The 21,658-nt window shown below is 36.6% G+C and overlaps 2 protein-coding genes across 2 annotated transcripts, besides 1 other annotated feature; both read left to right on the top strand.

Annotated features, from left to right (window-relative positions):
- IFNA2 (interferon alpha 2) lies at window positions 2,498-3,641 on the top strand. The gene has a single exon (NM_000605.4). The coding sequence runs from the start codon at window positions 2,567-2,569 to the stop codon at window positions 3,131-3,133; it is 567 nt and encodes a 188-aa protein (NP_000596.2). The 5' UTR covers window positions 2,498-2,566; the 3' UTR covers window positions 3,134-3,641.
- Window positions 5,806-6,105: an enhancer, noted in NCBI's record as "active region_28240". NCBI's record gives its function as "activates an Ori minimal core promoter by ATAC-STARR-seq in GM12878 lymphoblastoid cells {active_cell/tissue: GM12878}" and the evidence as "EXISTENCE:reporter gene assay evidence [ECO:0000049][PMID:35858748]".
- IFNA13 (interferon alpha 13) lies at window positions 19,839-20,524 on the top strand. The gene has a single exon (NM_006900.4). The coding sequence runs from the start codon at window positions 19,886-19,888 to the stop codon at window positions 20,456-20,458; it is 573 nt and encodes a 190-aa protein (NP_008831.3). The 5' UTR covers window positions 19,839-19,885; the 3' UTR covers window positions 20,459-20,524.
- Window positions 20,525-21,658: the final 1,134 nt, after the last annotated feature.

The following is a 21,658-nucleotide window of genomic DNA, read 5'->3' as shown; positions in this document are numbered from 1 at the left end:
CCTGTCTCTACTAAAAATACAAAAAATTAGCTGAACATGGTGGCACATGCCTGTGGTTCCAGCTACTAGAGAGGCTGAGGCAGAAGAATTGCTTGAACTTGGGAGGTGGAGGTTGCAGTGAGCTAAGATTGATGGAGCCACTGCACCCCAGCCTAGGTGACAGAATAAGACTCTGCCTCAAAAAAAAAAAGCAAAACAAAACAAAACAAAAAACCCTTAGACCCAATGATTCATTGCCTACAAGAAGTATGCTTCACCTTTAAAGACACATATAGACTGAAGGTAAAGGGATGGAAAAATATTCTATGCCTATGGAAACAAACAAAAAGAAGCAGAAGCTACATTTATATCAGACAAAATAGACTGCAAGACAAAAACTATGAAAAGAGAGAAAGAAGGTCATTATATAGTGATAAAGGGGTCCATTTAGCAAGAGCATTTAACAATTCTAAATATATATTCACCCAATACTGGAGTACTCAGGTATATAAAGCAAATATTATTAGAGCCAAAGAGAGAGATAGACAGACCCCCATACAATAATAACTGGAGACTTCAACACCCCACTTTCAGCATTGGACAGATCATCCAGACAGAAAATTAACAAACATCAAATTTCATCTGCACCATAGGCCAAATGGACCTAGTAGATATTTACAGAACATTTGATCCAACAGCTGTAGAATACACATTCTTCTCCTCAGCACATGGATAATTCTCAAGGATATACCAAATGCTAGGTCACAAAACAAATCTTAAAATTTAGAAAAAAAGTGAAATAATATCAAACGTTTTCTCTCACCACAGACTAAGAAAAAAAGAAGTCCCAAATAAATACAATCTGAGATAAAAAAGGAGACATGACAACCAATACCACAAAAAATTAAAGGATCATTAGAAGATACTATGAAACTATATGCTAATAAATTGGAAAACCTGAACAAAATAGATAATTCCTAGAAACATACAACATACTGGTCTGTTCAGGTTTTGTATTTTTTCATAGTACCATGAAGAAATACAAGAATTGTTTCTAGAACCATTCTTGTATTTCTTCATGGTTTTTGTATTTCTTCATGGAACCATGAAGAAATACAAAATGTGAACAGGCCAATAACAAGTAATGAGACAGAAGCCATACTAAAAAGTATCCCAGAAAAGAACTCAGGATCTGATGGCTTCACTGATGAATTTTGCCAAATATTTAAAAAACTAATACCAATCCAACTCAAATTATTAAAAAAATAGAGGTGGACAGAATCTTTCCAAATGTATTCTATGAGGCCAGTGTTTTTTCTGATTGAATCTCCCATTATATTTTAATCACATATAAAACCAGAGAAAGACACATTAAAAAGAAAGAAAACTGTAGGCCAATATCTCTGATGAACATTGATGCAGAAATCCTCAACAACAAATTAGCAAACTGAATTCAAGAACACATTAAAACAATCATTCATCATGACCAAGTGGAATTTGTCCTAGAGATTCAAGTGTGGTTAGGTATGTGCAGATCAATGGGTTTAATGTTGTCCAATGAACATAATGTCCTCCAGCTCCATCCATGTTCTTGCAAATGACAGGATCTCATTCTTTTTTATGGCTAAGTAGTACTCCATTGTGTATAAGTGCCATATTTTCTTTATCCATTCATCTGTTAGACACCTAAGTTGCTTCCAAATCTTAGCTATTGTGAATAGTGCTGCAATAAACATGGGAGTGTAAATATTTTGTTGACATACTGATTTCATTTCCTTTGGATAAATACCCAGTAGTGGGATTGCTGGATCATATGGGGGAAAATGGAGATGGCTAACGGGCACAAAAATATAGTTAGAAAAAATGAATATGATTTAGTATTCGATAGCACAATAGGATGACTACTGTTAATGATAATTTATTATATATTATAAAATAACTAAAATAGTATAAATGGGATGTATGTAGCAGAGAGAAATGATAAATGTTTGAAGCATTGGATACTCCATTCACCCTGCTGTGATTATTATGAATTGTCTGCCTATATAAAAATATTTCACTTATTCCATAAACACAGACGCCTCTTATGTACCCACAAAAATCTATTTTCAAAAAAGTTGCTCTAAGAATATAGTTATCAAGTTAAGTAAAATGTCAATAGCCTTTTAATTTAATTTTTAATTGTTTTATCATTCTTTGCAATAATAAAACATTAACTTTATACTTTTTAATTTAATGTATAGAATAGAGATATACATAGGATATGTAAATAGATACACAGTGTATATGTGATTAAAATATAATGGGAGATTCAATCAGAAAAAAGTTTCTAAAAAGGCTCTGGGGTAAAAGAGGAAGGAAACAATAATGAAAAAAATGTGGTGAGAAAAACAGCTGAAAACCCATGTAAAGAGTGCATAAAGAAAGCAAAAAGAGAAGTAGAAAGTAACACAGGGGCATTTGGAAAATGTAAACGAGTATGTTCCCTATTTAAGGCTAGGCACAAAGCAAGGTCTTCAGAGAACCTGGAGCCTAAGGTTTAGGCTCACCCATTTCAACCAGTCTAGCAGCATCTGCAACATCTACAATGGCCTTGACCTTTGCTTTACTGGTGGCCCTCCTGGTGCTCAGCTGCAAGTCAAGCTGCTCTGTGGGCTGTGATCTGCCTCAAACCCACAGCCTGGGTAGCAGGAGGACCTTGATGCTCCTGGCACAGATGAGGAGAATCTCTCTTTTCTCCTGCTTGAAGGACAGACATGACTTTGGATTTCCCCAGGAGGAGTTTGGCAACCAGTTCCAAAAGGCTGAAACCATCCCTGTCCTCCATGAGATGATCCAGCAGATCTTCAATCTCTTCAGCACAAAGGACTCATCTGCTGCTTGGGATGAGACCCTCCTAGACAAATTCTACACTGAACTCTACCAGCAGCTGAATGACCTGGAAGCCTGTGTGATACAGGGGGTGGGGGTGACAGAGACTCCCCTGATGAAGGAGGACTCCATTCTGGCTGTGAGGAAATACTTCCAAAGAATCACTCTCTATCTGAAAGAGAAGAAATACAGCCCTTGTGCCTGGGAGGTTGTCAGAGCAGAAATCATGAGATCTTTTTCTTTGTCAACAAACTTGCAAGAAAGTTTAAGAAGTAAGGAATGAAAACTGGTTCAACATGGAAATGATTTTCATTGATTCGTATGCCAGCTCACCTTTTTATGATCTGCCATTTCAAAGACTCATGTTTCTGCTATGACCATGACACGATTTAAATCTTTTCAAATGTTTTTAGGAGTATTAATCAACATTGTATTCAGCTCTTAAGGCACTAGTCCCTTACAGAGGACCATGCTGACTGATCCATTATCTATTTAAATATTTTTAAAATATTATTTATTTAACTATTTATAAAACAACTTATTTTTGTTCATATTATGTCATGTGCACCTTTGCACAGTGGTTAATGTAATAAAATATGTTCTTTGTATTTGGTAAATTTATTTTGTGTTGTTCATTGAACTTTTGCTATGGAAACTTTTGTACTTGTTTATTCTTTAAAATGAAATTCCAAGCCTAATTGTGCAACCTGATTACAGAATAACTGGTACACTTCATTTATCCATCAATATTATATTCAAGATATAAGTAAAAATAAACTTTCTGTAAACCAGGTTGTATGTTGTACTCAAGATAACAAGGTGAACCTAACAAATACAATTCTGCTCTCTTGTGTATTTGATTTTTGTATGAAAAAAACTAAAAATGGTAATCATACTTAATTATCAGTTATGGTAAATGGTATGAAGAGAAGAAGGAACAACCGATGATTTCTCTCTGCAGAAGGTAGATTGAGGCATGTGAGGAAATAAAAATAAGACAGAGACATTCTCTTTAAATTGACTAGTATACATCTATTAGAAAATGTCCATTGCCAGTTAGATATATAAGTTTGCAATTTGCAAGGAATGCGATTGCTGGGGGTTTATATGTGATAAGAGAAAGCCAAGAAATGAAGGTCATGGTGTTGGGAGAGAGTGTAGAGAGAGAAAAAGTTTTAAACATGATTCTGAGGACCTTTCGCTTTTAAAGGGAGGGGAGAGAAAAGCCGCAAAGGAAACATCCACAGCCACAAAGGAATGGCTGTACATTAGAAGGCAACAGCAGAGAAAGATAATGAAAGTGTATTTAGGAAGATAAATGCTTCAGCCCAGGAGTTCAAGGCTGCAGTGAGCCATGATCACAATACTGTACTCGAGCCTGGGAGACAGAGGGAGAGTGACCCCATCTCAAAATAACAAACAAACAAAAGGAAATAAATGTGCCGAGAAGAGGATTCAGTCGATTTGCCCAAGGTGTGGCTTGAAACTGCCTACTAATTGGGAAATAGATGGCATTGGCACCCTTAGTGAGAACTGATTGGGTAAAGTTAATACACAGAAGCCATATTGGAGGAAGTTTAAATAAGATAAGTTAGTGAACTGAAGTGGAGAAAGAAATAAAATGGGATTAGGAAAGGATGTGGGTTATGTTTTCTGGGCATAGTTTTTCCTTTTTTGCAATGTATATTTTTCTCAATAGATTTCATGTAATTGAGGTACTGGCAAATGACATTAATATATTTCATATATTTATTTTAAGTCACGGCATATTTAATTACAATAGTAATTTATCAGTTTTAATTAATACTACTGTGACTATCAGTAAGATGCCTAGTTTTGTTAATTATTTAGGCAGGAATAGATAACTAATTCAATCTTTCATCAAAATATTCAATTAATATTGATAATATAATGGTTACTGCAATTACTGGCTTTAATTAAGTTACTTAACTTGCGCCATTGTCATGCTAGTTTACTACAACTTGACTGCATTTCTCCGGTAGAGCCAGATATGATAAGAAATCTTTTATAATACTCCTTGGTAATTTTTCCGGATTTTATGAATATTACAATCTTACATGAATACAAAAATAACTAAATTACCATAAACATATAAACTGACAAACTTCCTTCACAAATTAAATTAGGAAACTGGATCAGAGAATCTCTTCCTCCATACTTAAGGGAAAGAAAAAAATTAGTCAAACCAGCTAAAAATACAACCCGAACCATGGAAATTCAGAAAGTACCAAAGAGTTGTGTATAATTCACGAGTACAAGGAGATTTAGCAATTGTAATAGAAATCCAGAAAACCAAACTGACAAAATCACTCATAATTTGCATTAAAGACTTTAACGTTGAAATTTCATTCTGCTTGGATGTATGTGTGGTGTTGATCAACCCACTTATTCTCACTGAGCCTCACTTTTCTCATAAAAATTGGGTTTAAAATATTTATGTAGTTGTGAATATTAGAAAAAACATGCATTTTAAAGCACCTACCACTGTGTCTCCTATCTAGTAAGAAGTTAAAATATGATAGGTATTTCCCTATTTTCTTCATACAGCTGTAGATGAGGATAATATTTATCTTTCTATAAAATTCTTAGGACCTGTGTCCTGCATTTCAGTAAGTGACTGCCAATGGCAGCAGCCTAAAAAAACTAGATTCTGTCAGCAACTGTAGAGTGGTTGAAAAACAGTCACTCCTCATTTCAAAGAAGTGTCCTATTTATATGCAGTCGGGGAATGGTGGCTTGTATAAATACCTGAGACAGGAGAATAAACATATAGATTGACGTGCAGAAGACATGTGATGTTTATTTACTGATTCAGGCACCTGACACATTCCCTCCCTGGCTCTCAGCATTCCAGGAGGCATTTCCATATCACCAGGGTTTCCTTGCTCTCTGAGGTGGATTTCCCATGGGACCCTGGTCATTCATTCTCTTGACTTTCCTGCCCATTCACACAGAGCAGCTTTCTGTTCTATTGTGGTTCTGGCTTCATATGGCTTCCCTAAAGAGCAGAATGCCACAAGGAGAAAGCAGAAGTGAAATAAAATTTCTAGGTTTTACAGAAACACATGCAAAGGGGGTTTTCTAGAATCTCCATTAAATGTGACATAACAGTAGCTTAGCAAAAAGGAAAGAGAAAGCAGAATTCAGTTTATACGTAGGCTCCTGCAAACCTCTCAGGGGAAGACAGTCCCCTGGGGCCAAGAGTGATAAGGGCAGCAACCAAAACTGGAGGGGCAGGTTGCTGATCTATGAAGAAATTCTACCAGTTCTGGGGATTTATCCACATGCTGCAAAAAGGCTACTTCTTGGCCAGAAGAGATACTCATGCTGTCATAAGCATGTTTCCTTACCCTTGGTCTATTACAAAGAGAGTGAGTTTCTGGCTAAAGTCAGGGCGTGGACTCCTTGGGATTTCCAGTTATAGGGACAGAGAAACATGTATTCCCTGCCCACAGCCTACTGTGTAGACCAGTCTACGCTCCCTAGGATCACCCCTTCCACATATATTGGGATCCTTGGGGATACACAGAACTGCCAGTTTGGATTGGAACTTAATACTATTCACAAAAATATCATGTTTCTTAGTGCATTAAACTCTTGACAGTGCAATCTTAGTTTCACAGATTCATTCCTAATGTCAGAGTTCAAACTTTAACAAATCAACATTTTCTTACTGTAACTTTAGGTAGTAATCTTGACAGCTCCTCAACTCAGCAATAAAAACTGTACCTAGTTAGAAAAAGGGAAAAATCCCACAGAAGCTAAGAAATATAAAAGAATATTATTATTATTATTCTCAGTGAAGTCTATTTATCTAAATGTGTCCATATTGGTAGAATTTGAGAGGCATTCCTGTAATTGGTACCATATTCTCATGGAGGTATTTCCCAGGGAGTGTGTGTGAATTTCTGAGGTAGCAGGGAGTGAGAGCCTGCAACTGCAGAGGGGTCTCTTGAATCTTTTCCTCAAGCTACACAGTCAACATCATATATCTATATATGAATATCTAGAACTTGATATATACATACACATATATGGCTATCATTTTCTTATTTTATGGATATATGGTTATTTTCTTATTTTATACATATTTATCAGAATATTGAACACTCTCCTCAAACTCAGTAACTACTACGTTCGAGAATGTGATAGTCTAAAAAACAGAATTCCTGGAAGCATTCTGGAGTAAATTGAAAAATAGTCAGCCTTCACATCGAAGGTAAGTTTGATTTGTTTATTTAGTCAGGAAATGGTAGCTTATGAAATATATGTAATATATTTCATAATATATTCAGTTTGTTTCCCTAAACTGAAGTAAAATATACATAATATGTACTGGCTGATTCTGATACCTAGCAGAATTCCCTCCTTCTTCCCCTGTTTTCTTGAATCCCATTCTTCACTTTCGTTGGGGATCAGAAAAAACAATACTCAAAAGTGATGGTCTCAGAAGCAGCCTCAGAAGCAAATTTTCTCTCTGATCTTTTTTTCCTCTCTTGTTTCTCACTCCTCGTTCTCTAGAGGTTAGCCATAAAAACTAGAAACCCCCTTTTCCAAGGCTCCTTTTCACCAAAGTAAGCCATAAAACCTAAAAATACTACTCTTACTTTTCTGTGTAAGAACTGGCTCTAAAGAAATTCTCTGAACTATCTTGTTTAATTGTAGGTTATAAGACCTCCATTCCAAAAGGATCTCTACCCCATGCCAGGGAGGAAGGAATGCTGCACGGAGAGGTCAAGAAGAATCTGACCAGAAAGACCTTGCTGGCTTTCCGCACTCAGTCTATTAGCATTAGATGATGCCCTTTTTGTCTAATCACATTTTTTACACAGCTGTCCATTCTTCATTGAACTTAAGCATTAAAATGAATTTTTTTATGTAACTCTGGGTCTTCATTCTGAAGGCTCCCATGTCACATAAAACTATAATTAAATAAATATGCTTTGCTTTGCTTTTCTCTTGTTAACCTGTCTTTCTTTTGTTAAACGGGTGTCAGCTATGACCCTTATGATGGGAAGGAAAGAGATCACACCATTTCTGCCCCTATAGTCCCGGTGATGAGGAAGGGATGGCTGAAGCAACTGACTCACCTACTGATGAGGTCCTGGGACAGCTGGCAAAAAGTTGGCAAAGAAAGGTAAGAATTTGTATCAAGGTCTGTTCTCCTGGATCTCTGCCTATAGTGCCTGGTCAAGAATGGAAGGTAAAAATTTCTCTTTCTTTTTTTCCAAATTCAGGATAGCAGGAGAAAATTATTAGCTTGGATTGTGATTCTTGTGTAGTTTTGATTTAAAGTACCCATTTGTTATTAATCTTTTCCCTTCCATAGACAGCTATTGTGTCCCTGTTTGTCTCATATTGTGTCAAGAGAACCTGGCTTGGCTTGCTGCCTGTACAACACACTTCGGCATGTGCAGGTGGCCAAAAAAAATGTTGGGGGCTCCCATGACAAGCTTACATGTCATTGACTGTTGCTAGCTCACAAAGTGTCTAAATCTTTCTTTTGGCTATTTTTAGGGGTGATTTAGGGGTGACTTTGAATTCTGAGAGGGTTGCATCTTTGCATTTCTTTGAAGATGTCTTATGCATCCTTGGTTAATCATAAAAGACTTAATTGGTTTCTGTTTGGAGTCACTTGGTAGATACCTTTGTTTTAAAAGAGAAAAGGAAAAAAAGAAAACAATTTCAAAAGCTAGAAATATTAGCTGTTTATTCTTGTTGAAATCTGATAAGAGATTTAAAATGGAATCCTGTTTCTCCCATGGGAAGTTTCTTCGGTACACCTAAACCTCTTTTTAATTATATGTTTGATCCCTCTGTTTGCCTCCCTTCTTGCTGGCATAATTTTTGCTGAAAAGAAAAGTGAAACTTCAATGGCCTTTTTGGGAAGCTTAAGATCTTCCCAATCTGGCTCCTTTAAGACTTGTTCTTCCATTTATTTCTGTACTTCCTTCCTTCTGCCACTTTCAATTTTCTATCTAGGTCTCTTTTATCATCGATACATTACCCTTCAAGCCCCTGCCTCCTCAATTTGGTGGTCAGTGGACAGAAAATTACTAGGCAGAAACATCAAAGTTCCGGATACCACAAAAGGGAATGTAGGAGACACTTGAAAAAAACCTAGGACCCCTTGAAGCATGCAAAAAGAGTGCCACGGACCCTCCACTACATGGGGTGTTCTGTCTTCCTCGTGGAGCTCCAAGAGTCATGGGTAGTTTCTCTCAGATGTGGAGCTCTGCTCTTCTTTGCCTTGAGTTCCCTGATCTCTTTGGGTTTTGTGGGTATCAAGGGTAACTTCACACTGTGAGAGAGCCACCTACCTGCCAAGACCAGAGACAGTGGCCAATTCTGTTCTATGTATAAGTCTGTCTCCTTCCACCGGCTTTTTCTTCAGAGCTAAAAAGAGGAAATTTCCTGGAAACAACTGAACAAATACTGGAATGAGCACATTTCAAAATTTAATTTTTGTATATTCTGTAAAATATGGGTCAAGATTTATCATTTTTATAGAGATGTGTATCCCAGCACTACTTGTTTACTCAATTTTTCTTTTTAAAAATTGAATGCTTTTTGTGCTTGTGTTGAGAATCAATAAACAGTATATGTAGGTTCTATTTGTGCAAACTATTGTCTCTTTCACTGATACATTTGTTTCTCTTTAATACTTCACTGTCTTGATTACTTTAGTAATATAAGTCCTAAAATTAGAGATTATAGATCTCCAACATTTTTCTTCATTTTCGAGTTATTTTGGTTATTTTTGTTCCTTTGCATTTCCACATAAATATTAGAATCTGTTTGTCAATTTCTACAGAAAAAAGTCTGGTGAAATTTTGACTGATACTGCATTGAATCTGTAGATCAATGTGATTATAACTGATATCTTAACATTACTGAGTCTTTTAATCCATTAGCTCAATATATCTCTCCATTTGTTTAGGTCTTATCTATTTTCTATCAGCAATATTTTATAGTTTTCAATGTATATGTCTTCCTATAAATTTATTCCTAAGTATTTTAAATGCTTCATAATATTATAAATTATATTCTAAAGATTAAATTTCTGATTGTTGCGCATATAAAGAAATATTATTGATTTTTGTATATTGACTCGGATAAATTGACTAGTAAATTCTAGCATATTTTTTAAAGAATCTGAAGAATTTTCTAGAGGATGAAGTCATTTTTCATAAACAAGTTTTACTTTCTTCTTTTCTATTTGGATGACTATCATGTATTTTCTTGTCTTATTAGGAAGCAGTGCTTATTTCAGTAATTTTTATTACTGAACATCATTAACAATGTTTCCAACATTGATTTTGCATTTTTTTGGGTAATGTATTGGTAGCCTAATCAGCAGCTACAAGAAAATAACATCAAGGACAGATCCTAAAGCTTATGTTCACGATTTCTCATAGACTGAAAGGACTGCAGGACCATGCCATTTGGAGGACATCAAGCTATTTGATACCTGGCAATCTGGATGAAAGTAAGAGGAAATGGCCAATGAAAACTTACTCATTAACACATATATTCAAAAGCCATTATATGATTAAACAATGAGAAGAAAACTACAATTATTTGGGGACACAGGTCATGATGATTCTCCCCATTCAAGTCCACTGGATGGTGTACATGGTTCCTTTAGATTTGAGTCATTTATTTAATCATTTTTGTTTTGTTTCTAAGACGTGATAATTTCATTGTCCTATCTTCAAGTTCACTAATTCTTTCTTCTGTCTACTCCAATGTGCCTTTAAATCCCTCTAATAAAATGTTCAGTGCTCATTTCAGTTATTTCACTTTTTAGCTCCAGATTTTTTTTTTGTTTTCTTTATAGGTTGTCTATCTCTTTATTGATAATTTCATTTTGTTTGTGCATCATTTTTGAGACTTTCTCCACATCTTCCTTTAATTCTCTGAGCATCTTTAAGAGTTACTTCAAAGTCTTTATCTTGTAGATTTGCTATCAAATCTTTTTTAGGTATGATTTCTGAGACCTTTTTTTGAATGGGCCATATTTTTATGTGTTAATGTACTATTAACACAGAAAATTGTGATTATTTTTATTGTTGAAAACTCGACATTCAAATCTAATAATGTAGTAATTCTGGAAATAAGATTAACCCCTTACCCAGTCTTTGGTGATTGTTGATATTATTTTGTTCTTGATTTGATTGTTGCAGGCTGTCTCTGTGTAAAGATTGTCCTGAGGTATGATCTTAAGGTCTTCTCAGGGTGTTTCTGAGTCTGCACCTTTCCCTAGACATATGCAGTCACTCTCTAACTTTCACCTTGAATGTCCTAGTTTTTAATGCCCGGTTGCCGAAAAGGGGAAAAAAATAAAGGAGGAGATGGGGAGGGTGCTGGCTGTTTCATACCTTGGAAGTCACTTCAGCTGGAGGGTGGGCCTTGCAACAAAGGGGATCAAAAACAGCAACCAGAAAATAGGACACAGGTCCCTGATATTTGGAGAAAGTATGCTTTTTGCCAACACTGGCTCCCATCAGCTCAGTGCAAGCTGCTCTTGGAACATGGGCACAGCTGCCTGCCATGGAGACTAGGTGTGGAAAACTGTAGAGGATCTGTTGATACTAATGTGATTAAAGCTAAAATTGACTGAAATTAATCACAATTTACCATCCAAGACTTCCCCTGGAAGTTCCAAGCCTGAAATATAGTCCAGAGTTCCAAAATAGTTATATCAGGTAGATTTTGCCATTGCAACTGTTATCTAGATGGGGAGACTGAGTTCTGGTGTTTTCTAATCCACCTTCTTCACAGAATCCTCTACAAGACCTTCAGAGGGCTCCATCATCTGGGAGAACAACAAGAATTCCAAATTGGGGAATATGTGAGATTCGATGTATATTTGTTGGTAATTAAAACAGTAGACTGACCTCAAGAGGGTCATCAATGCAACTAACAACGACCTAAAGGAGAAACGTCAGATCTTGCATGCTTAGGCACTGTCATGGTATAAATTGGTGGAAAGTTTTGTTCAGCTTTAAACTTACAAGAAAACTTCAAGTAAAGATAGATAAGCTGTGCCTGTATTCACTGGTTAAAACCTGGGGAACTAGTCAACAAAAGATGTAAATTGTACTGTATGTATTTTTAAAAAATCAACCACATTGGCAACAGAAACCAAAGTTGAATGGAGACTATGAAAAAATAATGTGATGAATATATGACAAAAGCCTTTTGATAATGACAAATACTCTGTCCAACCATTTAGTGACTACAGAGTGTAAGGCTGAAGACGAAAGAGCTGTACATAGGTATGACGCTTTAGGTGGTAGATTGGTTTCTCACAGGGATTCTGGTTAGTTGTTCTGGAACTACTTAACATGAATTACTAGGGTTAAATAAATAAGTAAAATCTTGTGGATAATATAAGCCAGGTATCTCAGAATTGGGAAAAGAAGTTTCAAATAATCAAAATGGTAAGGCTAGAATAAACCTTATTATGCTGGATTAGAATTTTGAAAAATTGATATATTCTCATTTTTTAGCATTTATTATTTGCTCAGCTAAATTGGCATTTAACCAATGTCCAATAAAATGCATGAGGACTTCTGGGAGAAAGAAATGATTCCAGGTATAGGGCATGGAAGTACCAGGATACTCTGGAGTATCTTGTGGTATCAGAAGATAGGGAAGGGCCCAGAAACAAAAACTATAGGTGCACATCAAAAACACAGAGGAGTCAACCTGAAAGAGCTTCCAATAGCCAAAGTTGGGACAAGTAGAGCAACAAAATAGTGATAGTATTTGATTATAACCCAAATAATAGAATAAATATCCATGAGTTCATACTGATATAAGTAAATGAGTGGGTGGATAATCATAAATCGGAGAGGAGGGCCAACTCTTTCAGAAACATTTTGAATAATAAATATAGAAACAATGAGAAAAATGGAATATCACCGAAAAATAATTGTAATAGGCAAGATTCACAGGCAAATCATAAAACAAGTGAGCAAAACTTTGAAGGAATTGAGGATGAACGCATATCCTCAATGTATCACCCTCCAAAAGATTTTTAAATTATACTGCTTGAGGTAATTTATAGATTCAATGCCATCCCCATCAAGCTACCAATGACTTTCTTCACAGAATTGGAAAAAACTACTTTAAAGTTCATATAGCACCAAAAAGAGCCCGCATCGCCAAGTCAATCCTAAGCCAAAAGAACAAAGCTGGAGGCATCATGCTACCTGACTTCAAACTATACTACAAGGCTACAGTAACCAAAACAGCATGGTACTGGTACCAAAACAGAGATATAGATCAATGGAACAGAATAGAGCCCTCAGAAATAATGCCACATGTCTACAACTATCTGATCTTTGACAAACCTGAGAAAAACAAGCAATGGGGAAAGGATTCCCTATTTCATAAATGGTGCTGGGAAAACTGGCTAGCCATATGTAGAAAGCTGAAACTGGATCCCTTCCTTACACCTTATACAAAAATTAATTCAAGATGGATTAAAGACTTAAATGTTAGACCTAAAACCATAAAAACCCTAGAAGAAAACCTAGGCAATACCATTCAGGACATAGGCATGGGCAAGGACTTCATGTCTAAAACACCAAAAGCAATGGCAACAAAAGCCAAAATTGACAAATGGGATCTCATTAAACTAAAGAGCTTCTGCACAGCAAAAGAAACTGCCATCAGAGTGAACAGGCAACCTACAGAATGGGAGAAAACTTTTGCAACCTACTCATCTGACAAAGGGCTAATATCCAGAATCTACAATGAACTCAAACAAATTTACAAGAAAAAAACAAACAACCCCATCAAAAAGTGGGCAAAGGACATGAACAGACACTTCTCAAAAGAAGACATTTATGCAGCCAAAAAACACATGAAAAATGCTCACCATCACTGGCTATCAGAGAAATGCAAATCAAAACCACAATGAGATACCATCTCACACCAGTTAGAATGGCAATCATTAAAAAGTCAGGAAACAACAGGTGCTGGAGAGGATGTGGAGAAATAGGAACAATTTTACACCGTTGGTGGGACTGTAAACTAGTTCAACCATTGTGGAAGTCAGTGTGGCGATTCCTCAGGGATCTAGAACTGGAAATACCATTTGACGCAGCCATCCCATTACTGGGTATATACCCAAAGGACTATAAATCATGCTGCTATAAAGACACATGCACATGTATGTTTATTGCGGCACCATTCACAATAGCAAAGACTTGGAACCAATCCAAATATCCAACAATGATAGACTGGATTAAGAAAATGTGGCACATATACACCATGGAATACTATGCAGCCATAAAAAAGGATGAGTTCATGTCCTTTGTAGGGACATGGATGAAATTGGAAATCTTCATTCTCAGTAAACTATCACAAGAACAAAAAACCAAACACCGCATATTCTCACTCATAGGTGGGAATTGAACAATGAGAACACATGGACACAGGAAGGGGAACATCACACTCTGGGGACTGTTGGTGGGTGGGGGGAGGGGGGAGGAATAGCTTTAGGAGATATACCTAATGCTAAATGACGAGTTAATGGGTGCTGCACACCCGCATGGAACATGTATACCTATGTAACTAACCTGCGCATTGTGCACATGTACCCTAAAACTTAAAGTATAATAATAATAAAAAAAAGAGAAGAGAAAAAAAATTACTGTGATGTTTTAATATACATCAACAAATTCTTGTATACATTGTTCTCTATGTAATTATCCTCCCTTTAATGTGGGCTCATATTCGTGATATGTTTCTGACACAAGCAGTATGGAAAGGGACAAATAGTAATTTTACATAGGAGAAACCTGGCAGACAACAACTTAACCAAGTGATTCATTTAATATCAGCAGCAATAAGTTATTGATATTGTATGCTTCCTATATTATTCGATGTAATGAGCATGTACTCCATTGTATTCATCCATTAAATCTATAATGTAACCATGAGAAAATTCCACACATCCAAATTGAGGAACATCCTACAAAGTAACTGACCAATATTCTTTAATAGTCCCCAGGTCATGAAAGTCAGGAAAGACTCAGCCCATGTTATAGATGAGAGGAGAATAAAGAGATGTGACAATGAAATGTAATATGGGACCCTGGATTGAATCTTAAATCAGAAAAAGGACATCAGTCAAAAAGTTAAGGAAATCACAATGAAGCCTGAAGTTTAGCAAATTTTTTCTTTGTTTGTTTTTTCTTTTTTTTTTTTTTTTTTTTTCGAGACGGAATCTCGCACTGCCGCCGAGGCTGGAGGTCAGCGGCGCGATCTCAGCTCACTGCAACCTCAGTCTCCCGGGTTCAAGCGATCCTCCTGTCTCAGCCTCTGAGTAGCTGGGACGACAGGCAGGAGCCAACAAGCCCAGCTAATTTTTGTATTTTTAGTAGAGACAAGGTTTCATAGTGTTGGCCAGGATGGTGTCAATCTCTTGACCTCGATCCACCCGCCTTGGCCGCCCAAAGTGCTGGGATTACAGGTGTAAGCCACCAGTGACTGGCCAAGTTTAGCAAATATTAATGCACCACTTTTAATTTCTTAGTTTTGATCATTGTTTCATGGCTATGTAAGTTGTTAACATTAGGAGAAGCTGAGTGAAGGGAAGAGAACTCCCTGTACTATCTTTGCAACTCTCTATAGGTCTAGAATTGTTTCGAAATACAAGATAAAAATGAATCGGCTTCCAGAATTTTTAACATTACTGATTAAAATTTTAAAAATATTTATTTCACTGATTAAAATCTTTCATTAAATGGTATTGTTTTCAAAAGACATAAAATTTAATCTCCCTTGTAACTGTTTAGCAGACAGTTCTGTCTCTTACCCCTTAAGGTTCTGACAATGACTCTGTCCTTTGCCAAACTTTAGTCAGTCTCCTCCAAACTCTCTCGTTGACTGGCTCGTGCCTTTGGGTCCATTCTTAGGTCTGCCAAGTCCAGTTGTAGCAGGAATCTTACTAAGTTAGTTTTATGAGAATGCTTCCACGCTTGATAGCTGATTTACCCTTGATATATGATCAAATTGTTCATCCCACACACTCAATATGTAATTACCCTGGCTTGCCTTTAGAAAGAATTATGTTCAGCTTAGGAAGGATCCCCCTGCCTTTGATGTCTCCTTTTACTGATTTTCTATCTGACCCCTCATTCTGCTTGTTGGGTATAAACCCCAGGCTCTCTTTGCTGATTTTTGAGCTGAGCACCAATTGGTCTCTCTCCCCTATTGATATGGTTTGGGTCAGCATCCCCTTCCAAATCTCACATGGAATTGTAATCTCCAGTGTTGGAGGCGGGGCCTGGTGGGAGGTGATTGGATCATAGGGCGGTTCCTCACGGTTTAACACCATCCCCCTGGTGGTGTCATGGTAAGAGTGAGTTATTCCAAGATCTGGTTGTTTAAAATTGTGCAGCACCTCCCCTGCTTCTCTCCTCCTGCTCCAGTCATGCAGGACATGCCTGCTTCCCCTTAGCCTTCTGCCATGATTGTAAGTGTCCTGAGGCCTCCGTAGCCATGCTTCCTGTATGGTCTGCAGAATCATGAGCCAATTAAACCTCTTTTCTTTCTAAGTTACCCAGTCTCAGGTTTTTCTGTATAGTAGTGCAAGAACTAATACACCTATTGTGATAGTTTTGACGCCTGTTGCAATACTTCTGAATAAGTCTTCTTTACTGTTATACCAAGTGTCAGCATAAATTTTTCTTTACCAGATCCTTAAATTAAGGCAGTACAATCAACACTGCAGCACACTCTGGTGACCTGCAACATAAAAAGCATCAACCAGCTGGCAAGTCAGGTGACTCAGGGTCTTTTGTCATCTCAGTCCTCATTCTCTAATGCCATGGACTATCCTAATTTCTCTAGAAGTGTTTCCATTTCCACACCTTTAATAATCCCTTTAGTCAACCTTTCCAGGTGTGCTCTCCCTGAGCTCTGAGCCTTAGTTCCTTGGTTTAGTTCTGATTTAGTTCATGTCTCTAGCCTGACAGTGACTCGTTCTTTCTTAAATTTGTGCTACACATGGGGAAATCTAAAGTATTGTGGATATTTGATTAAAAGAATAGTACTATGTAGAATTTTAAATTGACAGAAATATAAAGGGTTGATGAATATATTCACTGGGGTGAACAATATGTTTTACAAATATGTTCATGCTTATGATGGTGTATCCTCAAGAAGACAAAACTAGAATATAATGTGAAAGTAAAGTGGGGCCCAATTTAATTGTAATGTAACATGTTGGCATGGACAAATGGGGCATTTCAATGAAGAAGACAAATGGAAACTGAAGAGAAAGACCCTGTCATTACATAGTAAGGACTCTACTAGGAAAACATTGATTGTCCTAGAAATCAGCTCTGGTTCTTTTGTCCAGAAATAGTCCCAGAGAGCATGTAAGAAGTAAGACTTCAGAGCTGAATTTTCTCCATCCAAACTGTGGCTCCACAACTTAATAGCTCCCTGGGATTTCATTTTTTTTCTTTTGCATATGGGGATAATAGTAAAATCTATCACTGTGTGCTTTGGTCAGTGATATATCTAGTGAATAAATGGGGCTAGGTACATGGTAGACGTTCAGTAAATATGAAAAATGGATATTCTTTATTGATTAAGTAAGCATTGATTATGCAAGTGCTAAAAACAGTGTCTGACTGAAAATAAATAAAGACTTTCCACAATTTAGATATTTCATTCCTTCTTTTTTTAAGACGGAATTTCAATCTTGTTGCCTGGGCTGGGGTGCAAGTGGAGTGCAAAGGCATGATCTCAGCTCACTGCAACCTCCACCTCCTGGGTTTAAGCAATTCTTCTGCTTCAGCTGGGATTACAGGCATGTGCCACCACACCAGACTAATTTTGTATTTTTAGTAGAGACGGTGTTTCAAAATGTTAGTCAGGCTAGTCTCAAACTCCTGACCTCAGGTGATCTGCCCAGCTCGGCCTCCCAAAGTGCTGGGATTACAGGCGTAAGCCACCGCACCCGGCCTGATATTTCATTTCTCTTATTAACATTATCTTTATTATATAACTCTATTAAAAGTTAGGGAAGTGTCCTCTGAAATTATCAATTCTCTTGTTTCTTACTAGAAATATAAGAAGAAAAAAACTGACCTTCTAAGTTTACTTATCCAATAGTGGAGAGCTTGGTGCAATGAACACTGACCCATTTTCCAGAGAGAATATTGTACTCTCAAAAATTTCTCTTTCTTGTGTATAAACTCTTGCAGTTGGTATATTTGCAAGATGGGGTTCGGTAAATCTGAAAACACACTGTGGACCAGGAGTAATTACTTTTCTTCCAGCCCATACTTACGTGTTACCTTGACCTACATCCCTTCTACTATTTTGCTTCTGTTCTTTCCCACCCCTTAACCTCCACTATGTTGGTCAGGCTGGTCTCAAACTCCCAACCTCAGATGATCCGTCTGCCTCGGCCTCTCAAAGTGCTGGCATTACACATGTGAGCCACGACGCCCGGCCACTTGTGTTATCTTTTTGTTCCCATTAGTTAGGATGCAAAAAGTGACAACTTTTGCTTTCTATGAAAATGAAATGAGAAAGAAAGATATCTGGTGTCTGGCATGCTATGTAAAACAATTGTCTACTTATTTATGTTATTATATTTACATCCTATTATGCGCATCTAGGACAAAGATAGTTTCCTTTAGTTTGCTAGGAATCAGCAAAGAACCTCTGAAGGCACCTTGGAAATTTGAACTTTCATGCAAAAAATTTTTAATCAAATCGAGGATGTTTTTTCAATTGTGTATTCTCATTGCATATGATACTACTCCCAAGGATGTAGAAGTTAGTTCTTGGGAGTGGGAACAAATCTTACATATTTAAATGGTTTGTGGCCCTTCAAAGCTCAACCTATTTAACAAAATCTTATTCCTTAGTTTTTTTTTTTTTCTCTCCATTGGGTTTTCTTGTGTATCACATGAGAAGCACTGACATTGAGTTCATGGAAGATACACAAAAGGTATAAAAGTTCAGCATTACAAACCTATGGCAAATGGGTAGCTGTGATTGGAGTACTTTCCAAGATGTATTAGATCTCAAAGTCATATCATGAGAGGTGTCCTCTGCATACATATGGTTTGTCACTGGCCATCTTATAGATATTGCTTATGTTTGATCCTTAGCATTTCTGTCTGTGTTGTGGGCTTTGAAATGAAATATAAATAATTTATATTTTAACAATTCTACTGAAGTTGTTCAACACATCTATATTTAGGTCAAGAATTGAAGAAAAAATTCTTCACACTCTCTAGGTGAGTATCTAGCAGCTAGTGAAGTTAAAAATTTTCTCACATGCAACAAAATTAAAAGTTAAGTATAATAAAAATAAATGATAAAAATATTTTAAATTATTAAGTCTTTATCAGTTTCAAATAATTCATAAACATTCATTACTTAGCTGTATAATGTTTATCTAGAAACATTAGATAATGTTTATAATTTGTTAAATTTCTTATGTAATTTAATACATTACAATTTATATCAGTAAATAAACTATATTGAAGCCCACAAGCAAATTTAGTTATAAAGTTAAGTTAAATTTGAATAGCGTTTAAATTTAACTTTTATCTTAAAATTTTCATTTGGTTATTTTTAAACTTGCATTGAATAAAATGATTAAACTTTGTACTTTTTGAGTATAGAGATATACATATAGTACACAAATAGATAGATATTATATCTGTGTTATTAAATTTTCACGGTGGGTTCAATTAGGAAAAAAAATCTAAAAAGTCTCTGGGAACAAGATGGGGGAGACAATAATGAAAAACAAAATGGTTGAGAAACACGGCTCTAAACTCATGTAAAGAGTTCAAGAAGGAAAGCAAAAACAGAAATGGAAAGTGGTCCAGAAGCATTAAGAAAGTGGAAATCAGTATGTTCCCTATTTAAGGCATCTGCAGGAAGCAAAGCCTTCAGAGAACCTAGAGCCCAAGGTTCAGAGTCACCCATCTCAGCAAGCCCAGAAGCATCTGCAATATCTATGATGGCCTCGCCCTTTGCTTTACTGATGGCCCTGGTGGTGCTCAGCTGCAAGTCAAGCTGCTCTCTGGGCTGTGATCTCCCTGAGACCCACAGCCTGGATAACAGGAGGACCTTGATGCTCCTGGCACAAATGAGCAGAATCTCTCCTTCCTCCTGTCTGATGGACAGACATGACTTTGGATTTCCCCAGGAGGAGTTTGATGGCAACCAGTTCCAGAAGGCTCCAGCCATCTCTGTCCTCCATGAGCTGATCCAGCAGATCTTCAACCTCTTTACCACAAAAGATTCATCTGCTGCTTGGGATGAGGACCTCCTAGACAAATTCTGCACCGAACTCTACCAGCAGCTGAATGACTTGGAAGCCTGTGTGATGCAGGAGGAGAGGGTGGGAGAAACTCCCCTGATGAATGCGGACTCCATCTTGGCTGTGAAGAAATACTTCCGAAGAATCACTCTCTATCTGACAGAGAAGAAATACAGCCCTTGTGCCTGGGAGGTTGTCAGAGCAGAAATCATGAGATCCCTCTCTTTATCAACAAACTTGCAAGAAAGATTAAGGAGGAAGGAATAACACCTGGTCCAACATGAAACAATTCTTATTGACTCATATACCAGGTCACGCTTTCATGAATTCTGCCATTTCAAAGACTCTCACTTCTGCTATAACTATGACCATGCTGATAAACTGATTTATCTATTTAAATATTTATTTAGCTATTCATAAGATTTAAATTATTTTTGTTCATATAACATCATGTGCATCTTTACACTGTGGTTAGTGTAATAAAACATGTTCCTTATATCTACTCAATTCATTATTTTATGTTGTTCATTAAACTTTTACTATAGGAACTTCCTGTATGTGTTCATTCTTTAATACAAAATTCCTAGCCTGACTGTGCAACCTGATGAGAGAATAAAGGGTATAATTTATTTACTCATCATTATTATATGAGAGATGTAAGTAAAAATGACCTTTCTCTAAACCAGGTTGTATGTTGTACTCAAGTTATAAAGGTGAATACAATAAATCTACTTCCTACTCTCTTGCATGTTTGATTTTTGTATGGAATAAAACTAAAAATAGTAATCATACTTAGTATCAGTTATCCTGAATACTATAAGGAGAAAAAGGAATGAACAATGATTTCTTTCGGCAGGAGGTAAACTGAAACATGTGAGGAAATAAAAATAAACAGATATCCTCTATAAGTTGACTGATACAACATGTGGTAGAAACTGTCTATTGCCAGTTGGATATGTGAGTTTGCAAATTATAAGGAATGCAATTGCTGGGAGTTCATATGTGGCAAGCAAAATCCCAGAAATGAAAGTGCTCATGTGTGGAGAGAGTGTAGACAGAGAAAAGGACTTAAACGTGATTCTAAGGACCTTCCACCTTTAAAGGGAAGGAAGAGAAGAGCCACAAAGGAAACAGAGGGATGGACAAATAGAGACAATGGTGATTAATATGGTCTGGAACTGTGTCTCTGCCTAAATCTCAGGCAGACCAGCCTCTAGAATGTATGTGTGTGTGTGTGTGTGTGTGTATGTGTGTGTGTGTGTATATATATACGTACATATATATATATACGTATATATATGTATATATATACACACACACACACATACACACACACACTATATATATATTTTATATATAGTGTATATATATAAAACATATGTATATATGCTTATTTTCTTATTTTATAAATATATGGTTATTATTTTCTTAATTAGTGCATATATATCAGAAAAGGGACTGGGTGCA

The sequence above is a fragment of the Homo sapiens genome, chromosome 9 (genome assembly GCF_000001405.40).
Source record: "Homo sapiens chromosome 9, GRCh38.p14 Primary Assembly".
In the NCBI taxonomy this organism is placed as follows: Eukaryota; Metazoa; Chordata; class Mammalia; order Primates; family Hominidae; genus Homo; species Homo sapiens.
The sequence above is the reverse complement of the archived record's forward strand: the minus strand, read 5'-3'. Positions and strand labels throughout refer to the sequence as shown.

Excerpts from the sequence above, each read along its gene's own strand:
- IFNA2 (NM_000605.4), top strand. The coding sequence starts at position 2,567 with ATGGCCTTGACCTTTGCTTTACTGGTGGCCCTCCTGGTGCTCAGCTGC.
- IFNA13 (NM_006900.4), top strand. The coding sequence starts at position 19,886 with ATGATGGCCTCGCCCTTTGCTTTACTGATGGCCCTGGTGGTGCTCAGC.